The sequence below is a fragment of the Homo sapiens genome, chromosome 12, assembly GCF_000001405.40.
Source record: "Homo sapiens chromosome 12, GRCh38.p14 Primary Assembly".
NCBI lineage: Eukaryota > Metazoa > Chordata > Mammalia > Primates > Hominidae > Homo > Homo sapiens.
The window spans coordinates 53,267,223-53,295,043 of NC_000012.12; the positions used below are offsets into that span (position 1 = coordinate 53,267,223).

At 51.6% G+C, this 27,821-nt stretch overlaps 1 protein-coding gene across 5 annotated transcripts, besides 5 other annotated features; it reads left to right on the top strand.

Annotated features, from left to right (window-relative positions):
- Positions 1,014–1,383: an enhancer, noted in NCBI's record as "active region_6407". NCBI's record gives its function as "activates an Ori minimal core promoter by ATAC-STARR-seq in GM12878 lymphoblastoid cells {active_cell/tissue: GM12878}" and the evidence as "EXISTENCE:reporter gene assay evidence [ECO:0000049][PMID:35858748]".
- On the top strand, positions 1,077–26,416 carry ESPL1 (extra spindle pole bodies like 1, separase). 5 transcript variants are annotated; one of them, XM_006719705.4, is made up of 31 exons: positions 1,077–1,184; positions 1,533–1,625; positions 1,802–2,863; positions 3,156–3,260; positions 3,456–3,576; positions 5,499–5,635; positions 7,595–7,788; positions 9,398–9,637; positions 9,861–10,005; positions 10,248–10,386; positions 10,599–10,738; positions 12,510–12,644; positions 14,285–14,404; positions 15,042–15,213; positions 15,907–16,035; positions 16,160–16,316; positions 16,836–16,945; positions 18,702–19,690; positions 20,750–21,119; positions 21,316–21,477; positions 21,868–22,081; positions 22,182–22,372; positions 22,863–22,990; positions 23,125–23,247; positions 23,619–23,774; positions 24,468–24,638; positions 24,762–24,866; positions 25,056–25,171; positions 25,352–25,435; positions 25,584–25,748; positions 26,051–26,416. In XM_006719705.4, the coding sequence occupies exons 2-31, from the start codon at positions 1,545–1,547 to the stop codon at positions 26,250–26,252; spliced, it is 6,363 nt and encodes a 2,120-aa protein (XP_006719768.1). In that variant the 5' UTR covers positions 1,077–1,184; positions 1,533–1,544; the 3' UTR covers positions 26,253–26,416. The 5 variants fall into 5 exon arrangements, with proteins under 5 accessions (XP_006719768.1, NP_036423.4, XP_047285871.1 ...); NM_012291.5 differs by having other exon boundaries at positions 1,077–1,155; XM_011539024.3 differs by having other exon boundaries at positions 1,183–1,407.
- Positions 1,444–1,523: an enhancer, noted in NCBI's record as "active region_6408". NCBI's record gives its function as "activates an Ori minimal core promoter by ATAC-STARR-seq in GM12878 lymphoblastoid cells {active_cell/tissue: GM12878}" and the evidence as "EXISTENCE:reporter gene assay evidence [ECO:0000049][PMID:35858748]".
- Positions 9,022–9,522: an enhancer, noted in NCBI's record as "H3K4me1 hESC enhancer chr12:53670028-53670528 (GRCh37/hg19 assembly coordinates)". NCBI's record gives its function as "activates a minimal SCP1, AML or CMV promoter by ChIP-STARR-seq in naive H9 embryonic stem cells {active_cell/tissue: H9 hESC(naive)}" and the evidence as "EXISTENCE:reporter gene assay evidence [ECO:0000049][PMID:30033119]".
- Positions 9,523–10,023: an enhancer, noted in NCBI's record as "H3K4me1 hESC enhancer chr12:53670529-53671029 (GRCh37/hg19 assembly coordinates)". NCBI's record gives its function as "activates a minimal SCP1, AML or CMV promoter by ChIP-STARR-seq in primed H9 embryonic stem cells {active_cell/tissue: H9 hESC(primed)}" and the evidence as "EXISTENCE:reporter gene assay evidence [ECO:0000049][PMID:30033119]".
- Positions 23,241–23,742: an enhancer, noted in NCBI's record as "H3K4me1 hESC enhancer chr12:53684247-53684748 (GRCh37/hg19 assembly coordinates)". NCBI's record gives its function as "activates a minimal SCP1, AML or CMV promoter by ChIP-STARR-seq in naive H9 embryonic stem cells {active_cell/tissue: H9 hESC(naive)}" and the evidence as "EXISTENCE:reporter gene assay evidence [ECO:0000049][PMID:30033119]".

Below are 27,821 nucleotides of genomic sequence, written 5' to 3' on the forward strand. Positions count from 1 at the left end.
GTAGAGATGGGGTTTCACCATGTTGGTCAGGCTGGTTCTCAAGTGATCCACCCACCTCGGCCTCCTAAAGTGCTGGGATTATAGGCGTGAGCCACCGCGCCCGGCCTTCTTTTCTTTCTTTTTACAAAAATAATCTTCCCTGCTAGATTCTCAACTCATAAAAGAGCTCTATGATGATGGAGAAGGATGAGTTATCCAGTAGAGTTCATCAGCGACAAGCTGATAACCACTTTTGAGCTGAATTCTTTGGTGGAGGAAGGAAAGAGACAGCTGAATCTGTGTTTGGGGAAGTGGTTAGTACTTAAAAACATAAGCCATTAAAGACTGTGAAATATCCCAGGGAATGAATTTCCATAGTTCTTCCTGCTACTCACAACTCCCACCCCACCCCACTACCCTCTCTCCCCCATCGAAGAGCACCAGATCTTGTCTTTCTCATACAACCAATAGAAGGAGTAAGGCTGGAAGGCAGAGAGAGAGCTGGAGGTCGCTACGGGTACTCATTGTAGTTCCCCTAGAAAACCATCTTTAAAATAATTTCGTAGGAAGTTGGGCGTGGCGGTGCACGCCCGTAGTCAGCACTTTGGGAGGCTGAGGTGGGAGGATCACTTAAGCCCGGGAGTTTGAAGCTGCAGTGAGCTGTGATCACGCCACTGCACTCCAGCCTGTGTGTCAGAGCAAGACCCTATCAAAAAAAAAATTCGTAGAAGTCTAAGCCCTTTTTTTCTAGTAACCCAAACCGCGTGAGTTCCTAAGTTCTTTTTGTTATTTCTCTTCTCTTGAAACTTAAACTCTTGCCTGAGCTCTGAAGATAAAGGAGGAAAAGGGGTGGCATTACCGATAGCGACTAAGCGACAGGTAGCTGAGAAACTGAGCTCTGACTGGAAAAAAGGGGGAAACCCGCACCCCCAAGAGGCCCTAACGCGCAGAGCAGCAAGACCCTCCGGGGCGCCGCGGGAGCGCGCAGCGCGGCGGGTAAACTACAACTCCCAGCGTGCCGCGCGCCCGGCGTTGCGCCGCGCCCGCTGATTGGCAGCCGCGGATATTTGAAAGGAGGGTCTGGCGCGGAAAACGAAGGTTACATTTTGGATCCTCGCGGAGTACTGGTCAGGCGGTTAAGTCCTGTACCTAGGAAAGAGGGCGAGCTCTGGGGCGGTAAGGCCGGAAGGGACTCGTGAGCGTGGGTACGTGCTGAAGTGAAGGGGATCCCCAGCGCTGACGCGAGGAGAGGCGTGGGTGGCTCCTGGAGGGAGTGTCGGGAGGCCTTGGGACTGCCCCGGGCCGCTGAAGGGCTGGGCCGAGGCCTCTGGGGTAGCGCGGCGAGTGGTGTGGTAGTGCGGTCGGGGATCTGCCCGGAGGAAGGAAGAGCGGAATCGTCCTTTTATAACGGGAGCACGGCGTCCTGGCGTGGGTTTTCTCCCCGATGAAATTTCTGATGTGATTCTTTGCCTCCTTCCACGACCTTCAGCCCTCTTCCCTTCCTCCAGTTAGCTTCATTAACAATCTTCTCTAATTGGTCTCCTTTTCCCTAGCTCTCCGGTGTCATGAGGAGCTTCAAAAGAGTCAACTTTGGGACTCTGCTAAGCAGCCAGAAGGAGGCTGAAGAGTTGCTGCCCGCCTTGAAGGTGGGGGTGCTGCCTGGCTCGGGATACACCTGGCTTTCCAAACTGAGCTGTTTTGTGTTTGCCTTTTGAAGAGATGGATAAGTAGGCGACCCTCTCTGAGTAACCCTATTTCTAGTTACTTTCTCTACCTCTTTCCTGCCTTTGCTAGCCCCATTCATATCTTTCTCTACTCCTAGGAGTTCCTGTCCAACCCTCCAGCTGGTTTTCCCAGCAGCCGATCTGATGCTGAGAGGAGACAAGCTTGTGATGCCATCCTGAGGGCTTGCAACCAGCAGCTGACTGCTAAGCTAGCTTGCCCTAGGCATCTGGGGAGCCTGCTGGAGCTGGCAGAGCTGGCCTGTGATGGCTACTTAGTGTCTACCCCACAGCGTCCTCCCCTCTACCTGGAACGAATTCTCTTTGTCTTACTGCGGAATGCTGCTGCACAAGGAAGCCCAGAGGCCACACTCCGCCTTGCTCAGCCCCTCCATGCCTGCTTGGTGCAGTGCTCTCGCGAGGCTGCTCCCCAGGACTATGAGGCCGTGGCTCGGGGCAGCTTTTCTCTGCTTTGGAAGGGGGCAGAAGCCCTGTTGGAACGGCGAGCTGCATTTGCAGCTCGGCTGAAGGCCTTGAGCTTCCTAGTACTCTTGGAGGATGAAAGTACCCCTTGTGAGGTTCCTCACTTTGCTTCTCCAACAGCCTGTCGAGCGGTAGCTGCCCATCAGCTATTTGATGCCAGTGGCCATGGTCTAAATGAAGCAGATGCTGATTTCCTAGATGACCTGCTCTCCAGGCACGTGATCAGAGCCTTGGTGGGTGAGAGAGGGAGCTCTTCTGGGCTTCTTTCTCCCCAGAGGGCCCTCTGCCTCTTGGAGCTCACCTTGGAACACTGCCGTCGCTTTTGCTGGAGCCGCCACCATGACAAAGCCATCAGCGCAGTGGAGAAGGCTCACAGTTACCTAAGGAACACCAATCTAGCCCCTAGCCTTCAGCTATGTCAGCTGGGGGTTAAGCTGCTGCAGGTTGGGGAGGAAGGACCTCAGGCAGTGGCCAAGCTTCTGATCAAGGCATCAGCTGTCCTGAGCAAGAGTATGGAGGCACCATCACCCCCACTTCGGGCATTGTATGAGAGCTGCCAGTTCTTCCTTTCAGGCCTGGAACGAGGCACCAAGAGGCGCTATAGACTTGATGCCATTCTGAGCCTCTTTGCTTTTCTTGGAGGGTACTGCTCTCTTCTGCAGCAGCTGCGGGATGATGGTGTGAGTTAAGGACCTGGAGGTAGGGTGGGGACGTGGTCTGTGGACTCACTACCAGCCTAGGGTATTTGGCAAGATCTGGAGGTCCTGGCTCCCTCCTTGTTAAGCTGCTCTCTGGACAGTGCCTAGCGAGCCAGCAAACAGCCTAGTCTATCCTGAGAGGGCAGTGGCCCTTCTGGATGTCCTTCCTCGTGCTCCCTGGGCTCTGTCAGCTCTCCAGGACTCCGGGTCAGTCTTCAGCTTGGAGCCCTCTTTATCTCTACTCCTCATACCAACCTTCCGCTTCCTTCCTCAGGTGTATGGGGGCTCCTCCAAGCAACAGCAGTCTTTTCTTCAGATGTACTTTCAGGGACTTCACCTCTACACTGTGGTGGTTTATGACTTTGCCCAAGGCTGTCAGGTACTGTCTGGGAATCAAGGTACCTGGACTAGGCTCATAGGGTTTGGGGTTGCTCCACTGCCCTCAAACAGCTTTGGGGTTGCTCCACTGCCCTCAAACAGCTTTGGGGTTGCTTGGCTTTGGGTGTGGAGTGCGGTGGAGGTCATCTTGGACCCAGCATGACTCCTCACTCTCAAACCCTTCTTGTCCCTTCAGATAGTTGATTTGGCTGACCTGACCCAACTAGTGGACAGTTGTAAATCTACCGTTGTCTGGATGCTGGAGGCCTTAGAGGGCCTGTCGGGCCAAGAGCTGACGGACCACATGGGGATGACCGGTTAGTGCCCTGGGTCCCAGGCACAGAGTTTGTGGGAGGGTCATCACCCATTAGGCAGGTGAATAGTACTTGCTGCGTGGTTCTGACCACTGTGAGGGTTCCTTATGGTTCAAGGAGGCAGTGAGAGAAATGTTTATAAGTACCAGCTACTCTGTGTTTAACACCAGTAGAGAAGTGATGAAGCTAACTTACAACAGCAGACACTATTTCCTCGACTGGAATCTAACTTGGCATTAACAGTTGCACCTAATATGCAACCTTATGACCTTTCAACATATTTTTTTATTTCTATATTTTTTAATGTTTTTTTTTCCTTTTCTTCACTTATCAGAATCCAGAAATCATTACAAATGACCTTTCTGTATATTTAAGTGTTTTTTTTTTTTTTTTTTTGAGACAAGGTCTTGCTCTGTCACCTAGGCTGGAGTGCACTGGCACAATCACGGCTCAACACAGTCTCAACCTCCCAGGCTCAAGCGATCCTCCCACCTCAGCCCCGCAACGAGCTCACCTTGCAGGTTCAAGCGACTCTCCTGCCTCAGCCTCCCAAGTAGCTGGGACTGCAGGCGCGCACCACTATGCCTGGCTAATTTTTGTATTTTTTGTAGAGATGATGTCTGGCCATATTGTCCAGGCTGGTCTTGAACTCCTGGACTCGAGTGATCTGCCCACCTTGGCTTCCCTGAAACCCTGTCTCTACTAAAAATAGAAAACTAGCCAGGCAAGGTGGTGCATGCCTGTAATCCCAGCTACTTGGTAGGCTGAGGCAGGAGAGTCGCTTGAACCTGCAAGGTGGAGGTTGCAGTGAGCCAAGATTGCACCACTGCACTCCAGCCTGGGCAAGAGGGCACTCCAGCCTGGGCAACAAGAGCGAAACTCCATCTCAAAAAAAAAGGAGAATTCTTCCCACAGAGTACTGAAGACTGACTTTATTTTCTCCCAGTCATCTATGTTGATGGCCAAGAAGCTGCATAAATAAGTTATTATCATTTATTCAGCAAATATTTGTTGCCGGGCGCAGTGGCTCACGCCTGTAATCCCAGCACTTTGGGAGGCCGAGGCGGGCGGATAACGAGGTCAGGAGATCGAGACCATCCTGGCTAACAGTGAAACCCCGTCTCTACTAAAAATACAAAAAATTAGCCGGGCGTGGTGGCAGGCGCCTGTACTCCCAGCTACTCAGGAGGCTGAGGCAGGAGAATGGTGTGAACCCGGGAGGTGGAGCTTGCAGTGAGCCAAGATCGTGCCACTGCTCTCCAGTCTGAGCGACAGAGCAAGACTCTGTCTCAAAAAAAAAAAAAAAAAATTTGTTGAGTACTCACTGTGTGCAACGCACTATTTGGAGTACTTGGATGTGTCGGTAAGCAAAACAAAGTTTCCTTCCCTCATGGAGCCACGTTCTAGTTTGGGGGGAAAAGATAAACAGATTCAGTAAATAAGTGAATTATCAACATATTAGAACGTGATAAGAAATGTGGGGGAAAGGAAAAGTAGAGCAGGATAAGAAAGGGAATTGGGAGTCTAAGGTGCATGACGGGGGGCAAGTTACCACCTTAAATCAGGTGGTCAGGGTAGACCTCATTGAGAGGGTGACATGAGCAAAGGCTTGGAGGATGTGAGGGAGTCAGCCATGTGGGTTCCTGGAAAAGAACATCCCTGGCAGAAGAAACAGCCAGTGCTGAGGCAGGAGGGGGTCTCGTTTGTAAAATGAGTGCAGATGGGCTGAGTGGTGTGAAGGGCATGGGCCTATTTGGGGCAGGAAGGGGAGAGCCGCCCCTTCCCCATTCCTAGCAGTAGGGGTTCCTGTCTGATCTGGAAGCTGCTGAACTGACCACAGATCCAGCTGATCTCTGCTGCCTCTCCAGGAGGAGAGGGTGGTGGGAGCCTTTCCTATGGTCAATTGTGCCTTTTCTCCCCTGCAGCTTCTTACACCAGTAATTTGGCCTACAGCTTCTATAGTCACAAGCTCTATGCCGAGGCCTGTGCCATCTCTGAGCCGCTCTGTCAGCACCTGGGTTTGGTGAAGCCAGGCACTTATCCCGAGGTGCCTCCTGAGAAGGTACAAGGGAATGAGAGATGCAGGAAAGGAGCTTATGTGGTTGGGGAGCGGGGGGAGCGGGGAAGGGCCTCACCAGCACCCTGCCTTGGAGTGGGAGGTTAATAGCAGCATGTTGACACCAGTATCTGGAGCAGTGTTTCCCAAACCTCACTGTACTGTTACTTACTGTTGACTCATTTTTTTTTTTTTTTTTTTTTGAGACGAGTCTCGCTCTGTCGCCCAGGCTGGAGTGCAGTGGCACAATCTTGGCTCACTGCAACCTTTGCCTCAGCAAAGGTTCAAGCAATTCTCCTGCCTCAGCCTCCCAAGTAGCTGGGATTACAGGTGCCCACCACCACGCCCAGCTAATTTTTGTATTTTTTGTAGAGACGGGGTTTCACCATTTTGGTTGGCCAGGCTGGTCTCAAACTCCAGACCTCAGGTGATCCGCCTGCCTCAGCCTCCCAAAGTGCTGGGATTACAGGTGTGAGCCACCGCAGCCGGCCTGACTCACTTTTTATATTTAGCCTGGTCCTAAGCTACTGGTTTCCAGCCAAGCTGCACATTAGAATCACCTGAGTGACCTTTAAGAAAATTCTAATGTCTGCCCCGAGTTAATTGCATCAGAATCTCTAGTGTTTGCCGGGCGTGATGGCTCACGCCTATAATTCCAGCACTTTGGGAGGCTGAGGCAGGTGGATCACCTGAGGTCTGGAGTTTGAGACCAGCCTGTCCAACATGGTGAAACCCCGTCTCTACTGAAAATACAAACATTAGCCAGGCGTGGTGGCATGTGCCTGTAATCCCAGCTACTTTGGAGGCTGAGGCAGGAGAATTGCCTGAACCCAGGAGGTGGAGTTTGCAGTGAGCCGAGATTGTGCTACTGTACTCCAGCCTGGGCTACAGAGCAAGACTCCATCTCACATCTGAATATTTTCAAAGATCCCCCAGGTGGTCCTTTGAGCAAGGAGAGTGAGAACCTGGGTTCTTGGTTTTTTGGTTTTTTTTTTTTTTTTTTTTTTTTTTTTTTGGAGACTGAGTCTTGCTCTTGCTTTGTCACCCAGGCTGGAGTGCAGTGGCACGATCTCGGCTCACTGCAACCTCCACCTCCTGGGTTCAAGCAATTCTCTGCCTCAGCCTCCTGAGTAGCTGGGATTATAGGCATGCGCCACCATGCCTGGCTAATTTTTGTATTTTTAGTAGAGACGGGGGTTTCATCATCTTGGCCGGGCTGGTCTTGAACTCCTGACCTCATGATCCACCCGCCTCGGCCTCCCAAAGTGCTGGGATTACCGGCGCAAGCCACCGCGCTGGGCAAGAACCAGTGTTCTTAAGCAAGAATACCTGTGAACTGATGCATTGGCGGGATTGGCAAGCAAGATGAGTCATAGAGGGGCTTGGGTTTCATCTTAACTGAGATGATAAGCCTCTAAAGGATTTAAGTGGAGGCATGACAGCAGACAGGCATTTTGGATTTCCCTGACTTCGCTGTGATGAATGGAGTGCAGGAGAAAAGACCGGGTAATCAGGCTGCTATAGTATTCTAGGCAGGGAAGGGTGGGCTGAACTGAAGCAGCTGCACGAGGGATGGAATGCAGTGGATCGGTGCGAGAAGCCAAGGATTAACCTGGTAGGTGACTGGCGGGAGGGAGAGCGAGAGAAGGGAACATCAGAGATGGCCCCACATTTCTTACTCAGGAGAAGGCAGTGCCATTTGCTGAGAAGGATTACAGGAGAAGCAGGTTTTCAAGGGTGTGGATGATGAACATAGGGGTGGAGTGGATTGCAGCCTCTGAGTTGAAGGCACTCAGAGTATTTCATTCTTAGGTGTCTCCTGCCTTGGGTGGGTGTGGCTCAGGAGGCCCACCTGCCAACCCCGCCCCCTCATGTGGTGTATGTACCTATTGCATGCATATCCCCTTCCACCATACACACTCACTGGTTCCTCTCCAGTTTGGTCTGTTCCCTTTCTCTGGTCAGTTGCACAGGTGCTTCCGGCTACAAGTAGAGAGTTTGAAGAAACTGGGTAAACAGGCCCAGGGCTGCAAGATGGTGATTTTGTGGCTGGCAGCCCTGCAACCCTGTAGCCCTGAACACATGGCTGAGCCAGTCACTTTCTGGGTTCGGGTCAAGATGGATGCGGCCAGGGCTGGAGACAAGGAGCTACAGCTAAAGTGAGTTGAGGGCCAGACGCAGTGGCTCATGCTTGTAATCCCAGCACTTTGGGAAGCCGAGGCGGGTGGATCACTTGAGGTCAGGAGTTTGAGACCATGGCCAACATGGTGAAACCCCGTCTCTACTACAAATACAAAAATTAGCTGGGCATTGGCCGTGCACAGTGGCTCACACATGTAATCCCAGCACACATGTAATCCCAGCACTTTGGGAGGCCGAGGCGGGCAGATCATGAGGTCAGGAGATCGAGACCATCCTGGCTAATACGGTGAAACCCCATCTCTACTAAAAATACAAAAATTAGCTGGGCGTGGTGGCGGGTGCCTGTAGTCCCAGCTACTCGGGAGGCTGAGGCAGGAGAATGGCGTGAACCCGGGAGGCGGAGGTTGCAGTGAGCCGAGATCGTGCCACTGCACTCCAGCCTGGGTGACAGAGGGAGACTCCATCTCAAAAAAAAAGTGAGTTGGGGAGGGGGTCAACCATGTTTCTCCCATGGATAGGGTGGCTTTTGGTACTCATGGTCATGTCCTTTCATCTTTATGTCTGAAAAATACTAATTCCTTCATTCATTAGTTATTCATTGAGTGCCCACTGTATGCTAGCCACTGTGCTACTTGGGGGGTATAGTGGTGACAGTGGTCTTGCTTTCATGGAGCTTATATTCTACTTGGGGAGATATTTTTAAAAAGTACATTTTGCATTTTGTGTCTGTTCCTTTTTTTTTTTTTTTTTTTAATAGAGACAAGGTCTCACTATGTTGCCTAGGCTGGTCTTGAACTCCTGAGCTCAAGTGATCCTTCCACCTTGGCCTCCCAAAGTGCTAGGATTACAGGCATGAGCCAGTGCGCCCAGCCTTCACGTATGCTCTATGAAGACAATTAAACTGATTTGCTAAAAGAGGGAGCAACTTGAGGTGGGTTATTTAGGAAAACCCTTTTTGAAGAAGTGATAGATGAGACCTGAGGATGTGAAGGAATCTACTTTGTAAAGATCTCAGGGAGCCTGGGCAACAAAGCGAGACCTTGACTCTACTTAAAAAATATTAGCCGAATGTGGTGGCATGAACCTATAGTCTATTTACACTTGGTTAGGAGGCTGAAGTGGGAGGATCACATGAGCCTGGAAGATCAAGGCTGTAGTGAACCGTGATCACGCTATTGCACTCCAGCCTGGGCAACAGAGTGAGACTGTCTAAAAAAAAACAAACAAAAAACTCAGGGAAGAGAATTCCTTGCAGAGAGAGTAGTAAATACAAAGGTTGCAAAGTGGGAACAAACTTGGGACCATGCTTGAGAAAGCCGGCATGCTGGGGGTAGTAGAATAGCGGTATAGGATGGGGAACCATATGGAATGAAGGTGGTCAAAGTGGGAAGCGGCCAGATCACACAGGGCCTTATAGGCCATGGTCAGGGCTTTGGAAATGATTCCTAGTGGGAGCCCACTGCCGTTTGTTAAACAGAGGAGCAATGCAATCTGATTTAAATTTTTAAAGCCATGACTGGAAACCTACTGAGCAAGCCAAGGCTGGGGCTCCTCAGCATGGGAGCAGGTAGCAGAGGCTTTATGCCTCCTGGGTTCCACCCTGGTGCTGAGCATGCCCTCTCTCAGGACTCTGCGAGACAGCCTCAGTGGCTGGGACCCGGAGACCCTGGCCCTCCTGCTGAGGGAGGAGCTGCAGGCCTACAAGGCGGTGCGGGCCGACACTGGACAGGAACGCTTCAACATCATCTGTGACCTCCTGGAGCTGAGCCCCGAGGAGACACCAGCCGGGGCCTGGGCACGAGCCACCCACCTGGTAGAACTGGCTCAGGTGCTCTGCTACCACGACTTTACGCAGCAGACCAACTGGTAAGGAGTAGTAGCTGCAGAGGCCACTCTTGCTCCTTGCCCTAGGTCCTCTCACCCTCTTGAGAACCAGTTTCCCTCTCCACAGCCCTGAGCTCTCCCTTCATCTTGTGGCCATGGGAGCACATGCAAAGGGCGAGGCCAGCTGTTCTGCAGCTAGCCCTTCCCAGGGCGCTATGGCAGATACTCATAGTAGGCCCAGCTTAAGCACATCTTCTCCCTGCAGCTCTGCTCTGGATGCTATCCGGGAAGCCCTGCAGCTTCTGGACTCTGTGAGGCCTGAGGCCCAGGCCAGAGATCAGCTTCTGGACGATAAAGCACAGGCCTTGCTGTGGCTTTACATCTGTACTCTGGAAGCCAAAATGCAGGAAGTGAGTGTGGCTGCTGTGGGGCTCACCAGAACTGGGTGTAGGAATTACTGTCCCTGGGCCCCCAACAAGTTGGTATCAGCCCTTTTTTTTGTTCGTTATTTTTAGAGATGGGGTCTCTCTGTTGCCCAGGCTGGTCTTGAACTCCTGGGCTCCAACAATCCTCCCACCTCAGCCTGCCGAGTAGCCAGGACGATAGGCCCACACCACTGTGCCCTGTTTTATACCCCGATCTTCCCATCCAGGGTATCGAGCGGGATCGGAGAGCCCAGGCCCCTGGTAACTTGGAGGAATTTGAAGTCAATGACCTGAACTATGAAGATAAACTCCAGGAAGATCGTTTCCTATACAGTAACATTGCCTTCAACCTGGCTGCAGATGCTGGTGAGGGGTAAATGGAGTGTGGCATGGGCATCTCCATGGCTTCCTAAGAGTGGAACAGGGACCCCTGGTGAGGGAAACCCTGACCTTGTAGGGTAGGAGGTTGTGGAAGCAGTGGGAGGTTGGCGTAAAGGGCAGAGGATGTTATGGAGGAAGGGAAGTTCTCTCCAGATGGCCCATGCTGAGACAGCAGTCATTTTCTTCTGGCTTAACAGCTCAGTCCAAATGCCTGGACCAAGCCCTGGCCCTGTGGAAGGAGCTGCTTACAAAGGGGCAGGCCCCAGCTGTACGGTGTCTCCAGCAGACAGCAGCCTCACTGCAGATCCTAGCAGCCCTCTACCAGCTGGTGGCAAAGGTAATGGGGTGGGGCATTGAGGGGGACCCATATAAACAAGGACTAGACCAGAAACAGCTCCCTCGCCTTCTTTGGCCTGTGATCCTCCTGAGAAGCCATGAAAGCCAGTGATGGAAGCGCAGGGCTGTATCACCAGTCTTATTTTAAATCCAAGCTCCCTCATTCATTAGTGTATGGCCTTGGGCAAGTTGCTTAACCTAAGCCCAAGTTTCCTTATCTCTAAAATAGGGGCCATGCTACTGCCTCGTGGCGTTATTATTCAGTGCAGCAGTGCATGGAAGAGGTATTGTGTAAATGGTATGCTCAAATGTTAGCTTTAGTCTGGGCAACACGGCGAAACCCCGTCTCTACAAGAAATAAAAAAAATATAGCCCGGTGCGGTGGCATGTGCCTGTAATCCCAGCTACTCAGGTGGCTGAGGCAGGAGAATCCCTTGAGCCAGGAGGTAGAGGTTGCAGTGAGCCAAGATCGCGCCACTGCACTCCATCCTGGGGGACAGAGCAAGATGCTGTTTCACGCTATTTCATTAAAAAAAAAAAAGTTAGCTTTAATTATTAGATGATTTGTTACCTATCAGAAAAATACATAGATGCCTTTAGACACAATTTTACATTCTTACATTCTTATGTGTGCCTTCTTTTTTTTTTTCAAGATGGAGTCTCACTCTGTCGCCCAGGCTGGAGTGCAGTGGCGCAATCTGGGCTCACTGCAACTTCCGCCATCTGGGTTCAAGTGATTCTCCTGCCTCAGCCTCCTGAGTAGCTGGGACTACAGGCACGCAACCACGCCTGGCTACTTTTTTGTATTTTTAGTATAGACAGGGTTTCACCATATTGGCCAGGCCGGTCTCGATCTCCTCAGGTGATCCACCCGCCTCAGCCTCCCAAAGTGCTGGGATTACAGGCGTGAGCCACCGCACCCAGCTTTCCGCCCCGCCCCCCCGCCGAGATAGAGTCTTGCTCTGTTACCCAGGCTGGAGTGCAGTGGCGTGATCTCAGCTCACTGCAACCTCCACCTCCTGGGTTCAAGCGATTCTCCTGGCTCACTCAGCCTCCTGAGTAGCTGGGACTACAGGCGCATACCACCACACCCTGCTAATTTTGTATTATTGGTAGAGATGGGGTTTCACTATGTTGGCCAGGCTGATCTCGAACTCCTGATCTCAGGTGACCCGTCTGCCTCAGCCTTTCAAAGTGCTGGGGTTACAGGCATGAGCCACTGTGCCTGGCCTATAAGGCCATGTACATTCTTATTTCAGGGAGTTTCACAAAATTCCTGAAGCTCTACCCTAGACTCCACATTAGGAAACAAACAAACAAACAAAAAGCCTTTATACATGCTGTTAACTATGAGCTATTAAACCATATTTCTAGCAGGGGAAGCTACCTCAGCCCTAGATTTGAGACTTGGTTCTGCCACATACCTGTTATATGAACTTAGACAAGCAACTTAACCCATGTGAGTCTTAGCTTCCTGTACTGTAAAATTGGGATTAGACTTGTTATGAAGGTTAAATGCACTGATGCATGTAAGCCTGGGCACAGTGCCTGGCACATAGTAAGAACTCAGAAAATCCTGGCTATTGATGATGAATGGCATCTAGGCTTTAAAACAGTAGGGGTGGGGTGATGATTGCTTCATCTGGGTAACTACATTCCACCCAGGCCCTGAGGTCAAACTACAGTCCAAGGTCCCAAAGGGCTGGGGAGCAGAGGGTAGAAATAGAGGCTTGAGCAGGGGTGGAGTAAACTTGGCTGCTTCTGCTGACCAGCCCATGCAGGCTCTGGAGGTCCTCCTGCTGCTACGGATTGTCTCTGAGAGACTGAAGGACCACTCGAAGGCAGCTGGCTCCTCCTGCCACATCACCCAGCTCCTCCTGACCCTCGGCTGTCCCAGCTATGCCCAGGTGAGTGCCCAACCAGCCTAGTCTGGGGACTGCAGGGGGCCCGTAGCTTTAGAGGCCCACCTCTGAGAAGACAGGATATCAAAGGGGCAGCTTCTCGGCCTTTTACCACCACAACTGGCTGGAGAATTGTGGAGTGTGGAGCAGTTGGAGGCAGCTGTAAGAAGGGGAGTCATCTTTGTCCTTCCTGCAAAACCAGTTGTTCATTAAGTTTACAGACTGCTGCAGGAACCTACCGCCAGTCTTGTATTTCCTAACTGGTTCTGTTGCCCTAGTTGATGCTTCATTGCTCATGTAAAGCTATCACAGTGTCTCCTGGTTGGTCTCCTTGCCTCCAGTTTCTCCCTTTTCTACTTCGTCTTCTTAACGACCACTGGTAGGCACAGGTGTGATGTAATCTCTTTCCTGCTTAACCCTGTTCCCTTTTGCCCCAATAATACTTGCCAGCGCTTACGGCTGCAGTGTTTACCCCTGGATAACTTTGCCACAAAATATCTCACTCTTACTATTTTTGCATCACTCTAGTATATTGACTTTGGAAACAGAAGACATCATTCTGTTTATAGCATTCTGTTTTTAGTGGTGTCATTTCCATTTCCATTTCCATTTCCACTTCCACGTCACCCTCCCGAGTAACTGGGACTACAGGTACATGCCACCACACCTGGCTAATTTTTAAATGTTTTGTAGAGACAGAGTCTCACTATGTTGCCCAGGCTGGTCTTGAACTCCTGGGCTCAAGTGATCTCCCACCTCAGCCTCCCAAAGTACTGATAATACAGGCATGAGCCACCGTGCCCAGCTACTGCTTACTCTGTATATAGCTTTAATCTAAAAGTGGTTAACCAGGCTGAGCGCAGTGGCTCACACGTGTAATCCCAGCATTTTGGGAGGCTGAGGTGGGCAGATCACCTGAGGTCAGGAGTTGGAGACCAGCCTGACCAACATGGAGAAACCCCGTCTCTACTAAAAATACAAAATTAGCCAGGTATGGTGGCGCATGCCCGTAATCCCAGCTACCTGGGAGGCTGAGACAGGAGAGCACTTGATCCCGGGAGGCGGAGGTTGCGGTGAGCTGAGATCACACCATTGCACTCCAGCCTGGGCAACAAGAGCGAAACTCCGTCCTAAAAAAAAAAAAGTGGTTAACCAAGTGTTAAATGGACATTTTAGAGAGTGAATCAATAACTCCTATGCAGATTATAATATCTGAAATAATGTAATATTTATTGGACATGTTGAACATTTTGCTTGTAAATACTTTACTCCACTTTTTTTTTTTTTTTTTTTTTGAGACGGAGTCTCACTCTGTTGCCCAGGCTGGAGTGCAGTGGCGCGATCTCCATTCACTGCAACCTCTGCCTCTCGGGTTCAAGTGATTCTCATGCCTCAGCCTCCCGAGTAGCTGGGATTACAGGCGCGTGCCACCACACCTGGCTAATTTTTGTATTTTTAGTAGAGATGGGGGTGTCACCATGTTGGCCAGGCTGGTCTTGAACTCCTGACCTCAGGTGATCCGCCCACCTTGGCCTCCCAAAGTGCTGGGATTACAGGTGTGAGCCACATGGCCACCCTTATTTACTCCAGTTTTGTTTGAAGAGCCTGGCTGCCTTTCCTCATGTGCCCTCTGATTGCTTCCTTAGTTACACCTGGAAGAGGCAGCATCGAGCCTGAAGCATCTCGATCAGACTACTGACACATACCTGCTCCTTTCCCTGACCTGTGATCTGCTTCGAAGTCAACTCTACTGGACTCACCAGAAGGTATTTCTCACTTTCTTAAACTCCGAAGGCCCTGGGTATTAGAAAGAATTTAGGATTTTCTTGATATTTGCCTGGCTTTTGAGATTTCCCTGGAGCTAGGCAGTATGTTCCTGACCCTGAGAGGCAGGCATATTTCCTAGCCTTGCCCTCGCCAGCGATTTGCTCACCAGTCCTCCTCTGGTAGAGATACAGTCCTTTTCCTTCTTCAGGGGCAAGGGGGAAAGTCTGTCCTGTGACGAAAAGCTGGGACAATGGTGATCCTGGGAAGGCATGGGAGCTCTGGACTAGAAATCCAGGGGATGGCAAAGACTTGAGTTTTCTCCCAAACTAGTTGTGTGACTTGGGCACGTCTTCTACCTTCTCATGCTCTAGTTTCTTCTCTACGTTTTTATCATTCCTAAATTGGCGGACAAGTCACTGGTGAGGGCAAAGCTAGGAACTGTTACTGCTTCTCAGGGTCAGGAACATTCTGCCTAGGTCCAGGGAGATCTCGAAAGCCAGGCAAATATTCAGAAAATTCTAAAATCTTTCTAATACCCAGGGCCTTCAGGGATGGGGCCACGTAATCTCCAGGGCCTCTCAAGCTCTGGAGTGCCTGACTGCCTTACTGCCTCCTCTGGCTCCTTCTCTCCTTCAGGTGACCAAGGGTGTCTCTCTGCTGCTGTCTGTGCTTCGGGATCCTGCCCTCCAGAAGTCCTCCAAGGCTTGGTACTTGCTGCGTGTCCAGGTCCTGCAGCTGGTGGCAGCTTACCTTAGCCTCCCGTCAAACAACCTCTCACACTCCCTGTGGGAGCAGCTCTGTGCCCAAGGTGAAAGAATAGGGTGGATGGCCCCCCTTGGATGACATGTATGGTCTGTCTGCTGTCAGCTCTTCTCAAACCTCATCCCCTCTGCTGGCTAACTATGTGGCCCAGCCTACCTAGAACCTGCACAGAGTAGGCCTGGGATAGCAGATGGGTTTCAGTTTGCCTGCTGACTCTAAACAATTGGTGACTGCCTGGAATACTAGGCTGAAAGGATTTTTTTTTCTTTTCTTTTTTTTCTAAGACGGAGTTTCGCTGTTGTCACCCAGGCTGGAGTGCAATGGTGCAATCTCAGCTCACTGCAACCTCTGCCTCCTGGGTTCAAACGATTCTCCTGCCTCAACCTCCTGAGTAGCTGGGATTACTGGCATGCGCCACTACGCCCGACTAATTTTTGTATTATTAGTAGAGGTGGGGTTTCACCATGTTGGCCAGGCTGGTCTCAAACTCCTGACCTCGGGTGATCCGTCTGCCTCAGCCTCCCAAAATGCTGGGATTACAGGCTTGGGCCACTGCGCCCAGCCAGCTGAAAGGATTCTGAGACCCCAGGGGATCTCAGAGGGAAGGAGTTATGAGATTGATTAGCTCTGCCTGCCTTAATGCAGAAGGAAGCATGGGAAGCAGGCTTTGCTGCCTTAGTAGCTAAAAGTGGTGAAGTTCTGGCTGCATCTTCTCCCTTTTTCACCCCACCCACCACAGGCTGGCAGACACCTGAGATAGCTCTCATAGACTCCCATAAGCTCCTCCGAAGCATCATCCTCCTGCTGATGGGCAGTGACATTCTCTCAACTCAGAAAGCAGCTGTGGAGACATCGTTTTTGGACTATGGTGAGTCTGGGGAGGACAGCAGGGCCCTCTTGGAATGGACAGGCTATGTGAGAGGGCTGCGGTTTTTTCTCCAGAGGATCCACACTGTGGCTGAGTGATGGTGGTCTTGTCTCTTTTGCTACAGGTGAAAATCTGGTACAAAAATGGCAGGTTCTTTCAGAGGTGCTGAGCTGCTCAGAGAAGCTGGTCTGCCACCTGGGCCGCCTGGGTAGTGTGAGTGAAGCCAAGGCCTTTTGCTTGGAGGCCCTAAAACTTACAACAAAGCTGCAGATACCACGCCAGTAAGTACAGGGCCAGAGGATATGGCAATGATGGCACCAAAGTGCCATGCACCCTTGAACATGGATTCCAAACTGTTCCACAGATTACATGCTATGTTTAGATACATTCGTGGAAAAAGGCATTCCACAGCTAAATAAGTGGGAAATGCTGAGTTAATCAAGGTTAGATGTTTTTATTTCCTGTAGGACTCTCGTGTCCTTCAGTATGCGGATGTGCCTTGCAAATCTCCAAAAGGGAGATCTAGTGTACAGTGTTTCCCTAAGAATGTTTTCCCACAGGATTCTTTTATTGAGGAATGCAGTTTGGGAAATCCTGTCCCAAGGCACAAGGAGAGTTGGGATTAGAGAGAAGTGTAGAGGGTTTTCCCCAGGGAGCCTTTAAGTCAGCTTAAGGGAGTGAATGCCTTTTGGAGGCAGGGAAGGACTCAGGTAGCTTGGCCTGGGAAAGAGGCAAAGAGAAAGACTCTCCAGGAAAACAAAGGATTCCTCTGATTGGTTCTCCTCTCCTCTCTCAACAAGGTGTGCCCTGTTCCTGGTGCTGAAGGGCGAGCTGGAGCTGGCCCGCAATGACATTGATCTCTGTCAGTCGGACCTGCAGCAGGTTCTGTTCTTGCTTGAGTCTTGCACAGGTGAGCAGCCATGTCCCCATGACCATAGGCGGTGCTGAAATGACACACACTACAGCACATCTTTCTATGTAAAGGTTTCGTTGCCTTTTTTTATTTTTGAGACAGAGTCTCACTTTATTACCCAGGCTGGAGTGCAGTGGCGTGATCTTGGCTCACTGCAACCCCTGCCTCCTGCCTCCTAGGTTCAGGTGATTCTCCTGCTTCAGCCTCCCAAGTAGCTGGGACTACAGGCATGCGCCACCACACCCGGATAATTTTTTTTATTTGTAGTAGAGATGAGGTTTCACTATGTTGGCCAGGCTGGTCTCGAACTCCTGACCTCAGGTGATCCACCCGCCTCGGCCTCCTAAAGTGCTGGGATTACAGGCATGAGCCACCGCTCCCGGCCTTTGTTCCCTTTTTAATCAGATACTGACTTCTGGTCCCAGGGCAACATTCCCTTGACTTTAGTCCAACCATTGGTCTCCCTCTTTCAGAGAGCCTGTCCCAGACTTACCCTAGTTCTAGTTTTCAGTGCTTCCTAATACATTTTGGCTATTTAAATTTGATTTAGATAATATTTAGGGCCGGGCTCGGTGGCTCATGCCTGTAATCCTAGCACTTTGGGAGGCTGAGGCAGGCGGATCATGGGGTCAGGAGTTCAAGACCAGCCTGGCCAACAAAGTGAAACCCCATCTCTACTAATAATACAAAAATTAGCCAGGCATGGTGGCGGGCACCTGTAATCCCAGCTACTCAGAAGGCTGAGGCAGGAGAATAGCTTGAACCTGGGAGGCGGAGGTTGCAGTGAGGAAGATTGCACCATTGCACTCCAGCCCGGGTGACAGTGCGAGACTCTGACTCAAAAAAAAAAAAAAAAAGAAGAAAGAAAGAAAGAAAGATAATATTTAGAATTCAGTCCTCAGTCACACTAGCCACACTTCATGTGCTCAATAGCCACATGGCTAGTGGCTACCGTATTGAGTAGCACAAACATATCCTCAGGAGGGCTGAAGCTAATAATAAAACATTGCATTGATGGCACATTTTGTCTCCCCAATCACATATACTTCTAGTACTTCATTTGCCCCACACTAGACCTCATAAAGCTGAGTGGGAGCATAGATTATTTTCATTTGTTAAATGAGAAAGTTGAGAAGTCTATGTTTGGGGCCAGCATCACAGGGTAGGAGGCAGGATTCAGGTGTGGGCCTGCTGGGGCCAGCCTGCTTTTCTCAGCCATGTGGCCCCTGAGCTGCAGGTGTGGGGGCTTTGTGGCCTGCATTTGATCCATTGTTGGTTGGAAAGAAAACAAAAATTTTACCTCCAAGGCGGGCGGATCACAAGGTCAGGAGATCGAGACCATTCTGGCTAACACGGTGAAACCCCGTCTCCACTAAAAAATACAAAAAATTAGCCGGGCGTGGTGGTGGGCGCCTGTAGTCCCAGCTACTCGGGAGGCTGAGGCAGGAGAATGGCATGAACCCGGGAGGCGGAGCTTGCAGTGAGCTGAGATTGTGCCACTGCACTCCAGCCTGGGCGACAGAGAGAGACTCCATCTCAAAAAAAAAAGAAAAAAAGAAAAAGATTTTACCTAAAAAATAATAAGCCATACTAATATTTGATATGTTATACAGTAATACATATATATACACACATATATATACACGTACGTATATAAAACACATATATTAGAGAATTGGGCCCCAAGGTCGCTCAGGAAGTGCTTGATGCCATTTCTCCCCGTTTTGTAATTCTTGTTCTGCCTTCTCCCCAGAGTTTGGTGGGGTGACTCAGCACCTGGACTCTGTGAAGAAGGTCCACCTGCAGAAGGGGAAGCAGCAGGCCCAGGTCCCCTGTCCTCCACAGCTCCCAGAGGAGGAGCTCTTCCTAAGAGGCCCTGCTCTAGAGCTGGTGGCCACTGTGGCCAAGGAGCCTGGCCCCATAGCACCTTCTACAAACTCCTCCCCAGTCTTGAAAACCAAGCCCCAGCCCATACCCAACTTCCTGTCCCATTCACCCACCTGTGACTGCTCGCTCTGCGCCAGCCCTGTCCTCACAGCAGTCTGTCTGCGCTGGGTATTGGTCACGGCAGGGGTGAGGCTGGCCATGGGCCACCAAGCCCAGGGTCTGGATCTGCTGCAGGTCGTGCTGAAGGGCTGTCCTGAAGCCGCTGAGCGCCTCACCCAAGCTCTCCAAGCTTCCCTGAATCATAAAACACCCCCCTCCTTGGTTCCAAGCCTCTTGGATGAGATCTTGGCTCAAGCATACACACTGTTGGCACTGGAGGGCCTGAACCAGCCATCAAACGAGAGCCTGCAGAAGGTTCTACAGTCAGGGCTGAAGTTTGTAGCAGCACGGATACCCCACCTAGAGCCCTGGCGAGCCAGCCTGCTCTTGATTTGGGCCCTCACAAAACTAGGTGGCCTCAGCTGCTGTACTACCCAACTTTTTGCAAGCTCCTGGGGCTGGCAGCCACCATTAATAAAAAGTGTCCCTGGCTCAGAGCCCTCTAAGACTCAGGGCCAAAAACGTTCTGGACGAGGGCGCCAAAAGTTAGCCTCTGCTCCCCTGCGCCTCAATAATACCTCTCAGAAAGGTCTGGAAGGTAGAGGACTGCCCTGCACACCTAAACCCCCAGACCGGATCAGGCAAGCTGGCCCTCATGTCCCCTTCACGGTGTTTGAGGAAGTCTGCCCTACAGAGAGCAAGCCTGAAGTACCCCAGGCCCCCAGGGTACAACAGAGAGTCCAGACGCGCCTCAAGGTGAGGTGGGACTGTTGCTAGGTGGTGGTGATGGTGTTGGATGGGGTTAGTCCTGGAGGAGAGTGTTTTATAGAGCAGGTGTCCCTGTGGAATAGCTCCCCAGGGCCTAGTGGAACTTTAATCTCCTGCTATCTGCAGTACCCCAATATCTTGCTTTTTTGTTTTTTGTTGTTTTTTTGAGAAGGAGTCTCGCTCTGTCGCCCAGGCTGGAGTGCAGTGGCGCAATCTCAGCTCACTGCAAGCTCCGCCTCTTGGGTTCACGCCATTCTCCTGCCTCAGCTTCCCGAGTAGCTGGGACTACAAGCGCCTGCCACCATGCCCAGCTAATTTTTTGTATTTTCAGTAGAGACGGGGTTTCACTGTGTTAACCAGGATGGTCTTGATCTCCTGACTTCGTGATCCACCCGCCTCGGCCTCCCAAAGTGCTGGGGATTACCGGCGTGAGCCACCATGCTCAGCCTCTTTTTTTTTTTGAGACGGACTCTCACTCTGTCGCCCAGGCTGGAGTACAATGGTGCGATCTCGGCTTACTGCAACCTCCACCTCCCGGGTTCAAGCAATTTTGCCTCAGCCTCCCGAGTAGCTGGGATTACAGGCGGGTGCCACCACACCCAGCTTATTTATGTATTTTTAGTAAAGACGGGGTTTTACCATGATGGCCAGGCTGGTCTCAAACTCCTGACCTCAGGTGATCCGCCTGCCTCAGCCTCCCAAAGTGCTGGGATTACAGACGTGAGCCACTGTGCCAGGCCAACATCTTTCACAGCAAGACCTATTTCCAAGTCTCCCTTTGTTTCAGACAGAGACATTTTCCTTAACTCTAATGTTTCTTTTACCTTTTCATCCCACCTTCTGTTCCCTCATTTTCTCCCTCCTTCCACACCCAAGAGTCGCTGCCCCTGATCTAGAGTGTTGGCTGTCATGTGAGAAGTTAGTTCTGAAATCTTCCAGGGTCCTGTGTGATGGTGCCTGATGGTGCCTCCACTACGCCACCTGCTGTCACAAGGTGTCTTGTCACTGAAGACCTCTTAGCCCTTCACCCTTTCACTCTGATCTCAGGTGAACTTCAGTGATGACAGTGACTTGGAAGACCCTGTCTCAGCTGAGGCCTGGCTGGCAGAGGAGCCTAAGAGACGGGGCACTGCTTCCCGGGGCCGGGGGCGAGCAAGGAAGGGCCTGAGCCTAAAGACGGATGCCGTGGTTGCCCCAGGTAGTGCCCCTGGGAACCCTGGCCTGAATGGCAGGAGCCGGAGGGCCAAGAAGGTGGCATCAAGACATTGTGAGGAGCGGCGTCCCCAGAGGGCCAGTGACCAGGCCAGGCCTGGCCCTGAGATCATGAGGACCATCCCTGAGGAAGAACTGACTGACAACTGGAGAAAAATGAGCTTTGAGATCCTCAGGGGCTCTGACGGGGAAGACTCAGCCTCAGGTAGGACAGCAAGGGTGAGGTGGAAGGTGCATGTTTTGGGGGTTTGTTCTGGGGCAAAGCACAAGCAGTAAGTGCTGCCAAGGAAGTACAGGAAGAATGTTCTTTTGCTGACTCTAAGGGAGTGGATTACAGAAGGAAGAACAAAGAGAATGGCAGGGGGAGGGAGCACTGTGAAAAAGGCCTGCTCTCTCCCCAGGTGGGAAGACTCCAGCTCCGGGCCCTGAGGCAGCTTCTGGAGAATGGGAGCTGCTGAGGCTGGATTCCAGCAAGAAGAAGCTGCCCAGCCCATGCCCAGACAAGGAGAGTGACAAGGACCTTGGTCCTCGGCTCCGGCTCCCCTCAGCCCCCGTAGCCACTGGTGAATATGCGACCCCTGATGTTGGTCACTTGGAGAGGGCTGAGCCTCTAGGGCTTTTGACCCCTCTGTCTTTCCAGGCTGGGTTCGGATCTGGATCCAGTAGCCTCTGAACCTGTGTTTGAACCCCAGCACTCTGTCTATGAGCTGTGTGCAGGTCACTTAACCTCTCCAAGCTTCTATTCCTTCTGTAAAAATGGGGTTTAGGGAGCATGGTGGAATAAGTTGATGCCTGTTAGTTGCATGGCACCCCACTTGGCACATTGCCCTTCATAAATGGTAGTTGCTGTTTGCCATGTGGGAGATGAGATAGGGACTGTTCCTTCTTGGAAAGTTCCTATCAACTATGAAATAAGGAATTCAGCTGTACCAAGTGTCCTGACGTTCTTCTAGGTCTTTCTACCCTGGACTCCATCTGTGACTCCCTGAGTGTTGCTTTCCGGGGCATTAGTCACTGTCCTCCTAGTGGGCTCTATGCCCACCTCTGCCGCTTCCTGGCCTTGTGCCTGGGCCACCGGGATCCTTATGCCACTGCTTTCCTTGTCACCGAGTCTGTCTCCATCACCTGTCGCCACCAGCTGCTCACCCACCTCCACAGACAGCTCAGGTGGGTGCTGACCATCCCCAAGACTCCTGCTGGGGCAGACTAGAGAGAAGGTCCAGACTTTGAAGGAATGGGACCTCACCCCTCCCCGTGTTGCTTGCAGCAAGGCCCAGAAGCACCGAGGATCACTTGAAATAGCAGACCAGCTGCAGGGGCTGAGCCTTCAGGAGATGCCTGGAGATGTCCCCCTGGCCCGCATCCAGCGCCTCTTTTCCTTCAGGGCTTTGGAATCTGGCCACTTCCCCCAGCCTGAAAAGGAGAGTTTCCAGGAGCGCCTGGCTCTGATCCCCAGTGGTATGCGGGCAGCCTTCTGGCCGGCTCCTCTGTCCTCTTCTGCATCTTCTTACTTGGGAGCTGGGTGAAGGAGTTTTAGGCATTGGTTAGTTTACATAGATTTATGACCCTTATGTCATACCTTTTCACCTGTTAGCATCTTACATCAGGAAGGTTTGTTGTTTTTTTTAAACCTCAACTTTGAATTACCAGCAAATTCAGTGTCTTTCCTCAGAGGTGAGTTCAGATGACTGGGGTCTTCTGTGCTAACATGAAACATATTCACATGATTTGAGTGCCTCACTTTGTTAGTTGCTGTGAGGGACACAAAGTACAAGTCATGGTCTCTGTGCACAGGGAGCTATTAGAGCAAGGGAGAGCACCTTGACCTCTAGTGACCAGGGAAGGCTTCTTGATGCTGGCTTGAGTGATGGATAGGAATTGAGTGCCCAAGACAGGGAAGGGAATTCCTTTAACAGCTGAATGAGTCTGGCTGTATCCTGTGTGTCAGGGGTGACTGTGTGTGTGTTGGCCCTGGCCACCCTCCAGCCCGGAACCGTGGGCAACACCCTCCTGCTGACCCGGCTGGAAAAGGACAGTCCCCCAGTCAGTGTGCAGATTCCCACTGGCCAGAACAAGGTAGGATTCCTGGGCCATGGAGCAAAGTTGGGCTGGATTGGGCTTCGGGTCAAGCTGCTCACATTCTGTGTTGAGGGAGGGAGAGATGGTGATCACGTGGACAAGCAGAGCTCTCACAGCCCCATCTCCCAAAGCTTCATCTGCGTTCAGTCCTGAATGAGTTTGATGCCATCCAGAAGGCACAGAAAGAGAACAGCAGCTGTACTGACAAGCGAGAATGGTGGACAGGGCGGCTGGCACTGGACCACAGGATGGAGGTGTGTGCTTCTGGGGTGGGGTCAGGCCTGCTCTAGGAATGACCCGGGGGGTCCCAGTGACTTCTCTACCAGACGGCCTGGGTCAGTGCTAAAGCCACTTCAAATCCCTTCTGGAAGTGTAGACCTAAATTTAAAAATATGTCACCTGGGGAGAACTTCAGAGCCCAGAACTTGAAGAATATATGGGAATGGATATTTAAAGATACGCAGAAAAAAAACGACTTAAACCCAACTATCAGCTTCCCAGCAGAAAGATACGTAAGACAGACATGCACATTGGAAAACGCATTTTCTCATCTCCAAAATGTCAGTGCCTGTGAGAAAGAAGCTTGGTTTCCTCTCTGACTGAAGGGTCTGCCCTCTGCATTCAGGTTCTCATCGCTTCCCTAGAGAAGTCTGTGCTGGGCTGCTGGAAGGGGCTGCTGCTGCCGTCCAGTGAGGAGCCCGGCCCTGCCCAGGAGGCCTCCCGCCTACAGGAGCTGCTACAGGACTGTGGCTGGAAATATCCTGACCGCACTCTGCTGAAAGTGAGTGAGGAAAGCAGGGAAGGGGGCCAGGCCCAGTGGCTTGCACCTGTAATCCCAGCACTTTGGGAGGCCAAGGCAGATGGATTGCTTGAGCTCAGGAGCTCGAGACCAGCCTGGCCAACATGGTGAAACCCTGTCTCTACGAAAATACAAAAATTAGCTGGGCATGGTGGCAGGCACCTGTAATTCCAGCTTCTCGGGAGGCTGTAGCAGGAGAATTGCTTGAACCTGGGAGGCGGAGGTTGCAGTGAGCTGAGATCGCCGCACTCCAGCCTGGGTGACAGAGTGAGACTCCATCTCAAAAAAAAAAAAAAGGATAGGCCCCTTGGCTTACGCCTATAATCCCAGCACTTTGGGAGGCCGAGGCAGGTGGGTCACAAGGTCAAGAGGTGAAGACCATCCTGGCCAACAGGGTGAAACCCCATCTCTACTAAAAATACAAAAATTAGCTGGGCTTGGTGGCACATGCCTGTAGTCCGAGCTACTCAGGAGGCTGAGGCAGGAGAATCGCTTGAACCTGGGAGGTGGAGGTTGCAGTGAGCTGAGATTGCGCCACTGCACTCCAGCCTGGGCGACAGAGCAAGACTCTGTCAAAAAAAAAAGAAAACAGGGAAAGGGAAGAAACTGGACTTAATCCTTTCCCAGCAGCTATCATGAATGAAGATGGTGCTCACCACCACTGTTTCCCTGCAGATCATGCTCAGTGGTGCCGGTGCCCTCACCCCTCAGGACATTCAGGCCCTGGCCTACGGGCTGTGCCCAACCCAGCCAGAGCGAGCCCAGGAGCTCCTGAATGAGGCAGTAGGACGTCTACAGGGCCTGACAGTACCAAGCAATAGCCACCTTGTCTTGGTCCTAGACAAGGTAAGGAGCTGGGGCAGAGGGGCAGTGTCTAGTGGGGAGTGAATACCAACTCATCCCCATGCCCCTTCTGACTTCTGCATATACCTGGCTGGGGACAGTAACCTCTTAGTGCTTTTTGCCCAGGACTTGCAGAAGCTGCCGTGGGAAAGCATGCCCAGCCTCCAAGCACTGCCTGTCACCCGGCTGCCCTCCTTCCGCTTCCTACTCAGCTACTCCATCATCAAAGAGGTGGGGTTCAGGGCGTAGTGTCTGGGGATGACTGGCGACTGGGGAAGACGTCAACAAAGAAGGGCAGAGAAACCTGAGAAGATAGGAGAGGGTCCTAGGAATGGCTCAGACATGGAAAGGGGCTGAGATTGTTAGAGCTTGGGCCTCTTGGTGAGACAAGCATCCTAATCGCCAGTGTCTCCTCCTCAGTATGGGGCCTCGCCAGTGCTGAGTCAAGGGGTGGATCCACGAAGTACCTTCTATGTCCTGAACCCTCACAATAACCTGTCAAGCACAGAGGAGCAATTTCGAGCCAATTTCAGCAGGTCAGGGGCGCGAAGACAAGAAGACGTGTGGGGAAGGGTAGACAACATACAGGGGCAACAAGCCTTTTCTCCAGAAACAGCTGTTGCAGCCCACCTTCTATCTAATGATCCCTCTGCTGTCTTTGCCACCTGACCCCTGCCATGCATTTCCCTATTCTCACACCTGCCTTTTCCCTGCAGTGAAGCTGGCTGGAGAGGAGTGGTTGGGGAGGTGCCAAGACCTGAACAGGTGCAGGAAGCCCTGACAAAGCATGATTTGTATATGTGAGTGCTTAAGGCAGGGATGTGGGGAGAGGGGCAGTCCTGAGGATGGTATCACCATGGGTTGCTTTGGGACTTGAGAGCCTCTGAAGACACAGGCAGAGGCCAGGTATTACTAGCTCAAGACTCATCTCACCTCCTTCTGCCTTAGCTATGCAGGGCATGGGGCTGGTGCCCGCTTCCTTGATGGGCAGGCTGTCCTGCGGCTGAGCTGTCGGGCAGTGGCCCTGCTGTTTGGCTGTAGCAGTGCGGCCCTGGCTGTGCGTGGAAACCTGGAGGGGGCTGGCATCGTGCTCAAGTACATCATGGCTGGTTGGTGAGTCTCCAAGGGCAAGACCCATCCTAGGGCATTAGGACTCCTGCCCTCACCCCAGGTTCTTTCCCAGGTCTGAATCTTGCCTCTCTTGTGCCCCATTTTCCTCCTATCCTAGTTAGTTCCCTGGCATGCCTGGACCATTAACCCTTAGCTCCCTTCTGTTCTTCTCTTGTAACCAAGGGCCAAAGGAGTTTCTCATTGGTTCAATCCTCTCCACTCACCCACCCCCACCACCAATGGTGTTTTCCTATGTATTCTGTTTTAGAGCCCTTACTTTGTATTTCCTCCTTTTCTTTTCCCAGCCCCTTGTTTCTGGGTAATCTCTGGGATGTGACTGACCGCGACATTGACCGCTACACGGAAGCTCTGCTGCAAGGCTGGCTTGGAGCAGGCCCAGGGGCCCCCCTTCTCTACTATGTAAACCAGGCCCGCCAAGCTCCCCGACTCAAGTATCTTATTGGGGCTGCACCTATAGCCTATGGCTTGCCTGTCTCTCTGCGGTAACCCCATGGAGCTGTCTTATTGATGCTAGAAGCCTCATAACTGTTCTACCTCCAAGGTTAGATTTAATCCTTAGGATAACTCTTTTAAAGTGATTTTCCCCAGTGTTTTATATGAAACATTTCCTTTTGATTTAACCTCAGTATAATAAAGATACATCATTTAAACCCTGTTTTGCGTAGTTTATCTGAGAACATTTAAAGACACGGCATGACTGCCCCCTTCCTACTATGTGGTACTGTAAGCTGACAGGAACAGGTTACAGCAGATCAAGTTTGAGTGCTTGGGGAAGAAAGGCAAAGACACAGGACAAAGCCTGCTGGGCCTGGCTGGGCCTCAGCAGACAAATCTGGAGGAGAAAGGGGCATCAAAATGCTAAGTAGAGACAGGCCCAAGGAAGGGTAGTGATAGACCCTTTGAGAGTGTTTTGGCCAGGTACCATCCGTCCGTCCTGTCTTCCTGCCGCAGGTATCTTTGGAGTGGCACTAGTGTTTTGTTTTTTGTTTTTGTTTTTTTTTGAGACAGAGTCTTGCTCTGTTGCCCATGCTGGAGTGCAGTGGCGCAATCTCGGCTCACTGCAACCTCTGCCTGCTGGGTTCAAGCGATTCTCCTGCCTCAGCCTCCTGAGTAGCTGGAACTACAGGCACATGCCGCCACGTCCCACTAATTTTTGCATTTTTAGTAGAGACAGGGTTTCACCATATTGGCCAGGCTGGTCTCGAACTCCTGACCTTGTGATCCACCCTCCTCAGCCTCCCAAAGTGCTGGGATTACAGGCGTGAGCCACCGCGCCCAGCCATGGCACTAGTTTTAATGCCTCAGTTGCCCTGCCTGCCTCCTAAGTAGATGTTAAAGGCTACTGCTGTCTGCCCATGTACACCTGTTACACTTACCAATGTGTAACTTTAGCAGTAGAGTCTGTGGATCTGTGGAGTTCTAGTGTGGTTTTTCTCTCCAATTGTTAAGCTCAAGGGAAGCAAGTATCTTACACTCTCACGTATCCCTCACATACAGCACATGGTAAAACCTTTTTTTTTTTGAGACAGAGTCTAGCTCTGTTGCTAGTGTGCACAATCACAGCCTACTGCAGCCTCAACTCTCCAGCTCAAGCGATCCTCCCACCTCAGCCTCCCATGTAGCTGGGACTACAGGCGTGTGCCACCAGCCCGGCTAATTTTTGTATTTTTTGTGGAGACGGGGTGTCGCCGTGTTGCCCAAGCTGGTCTCAAACTCCTGGGCTCAAGCAATCTGTCCTTCTCGGCCTCCCAAAGTGCTGGGATTGCAGGCGTGAGCCACCATGCCCGGCCAAAATATTTTATTGATTAATTTGTGCTGTACTTGGTTGACAATGGCGCTTCCTTGCTGTTCTCCCACCACCTCACTGGCAACGGGTGATAAACCCTTTTTCAGATCCTACTACGTGTCAGCCTACTTCCGGCTGGGGGAAGATGGTTATAGCGAGAGGGGAAGAATTGGTTCAGTGATGAGAACATGGTTGGTTCCTGCCTTCGACAAGCTTTCAATCTAATGCCTGTTTTTTTCCAAGGACAATTCAGAACGGTCTGACAAGGG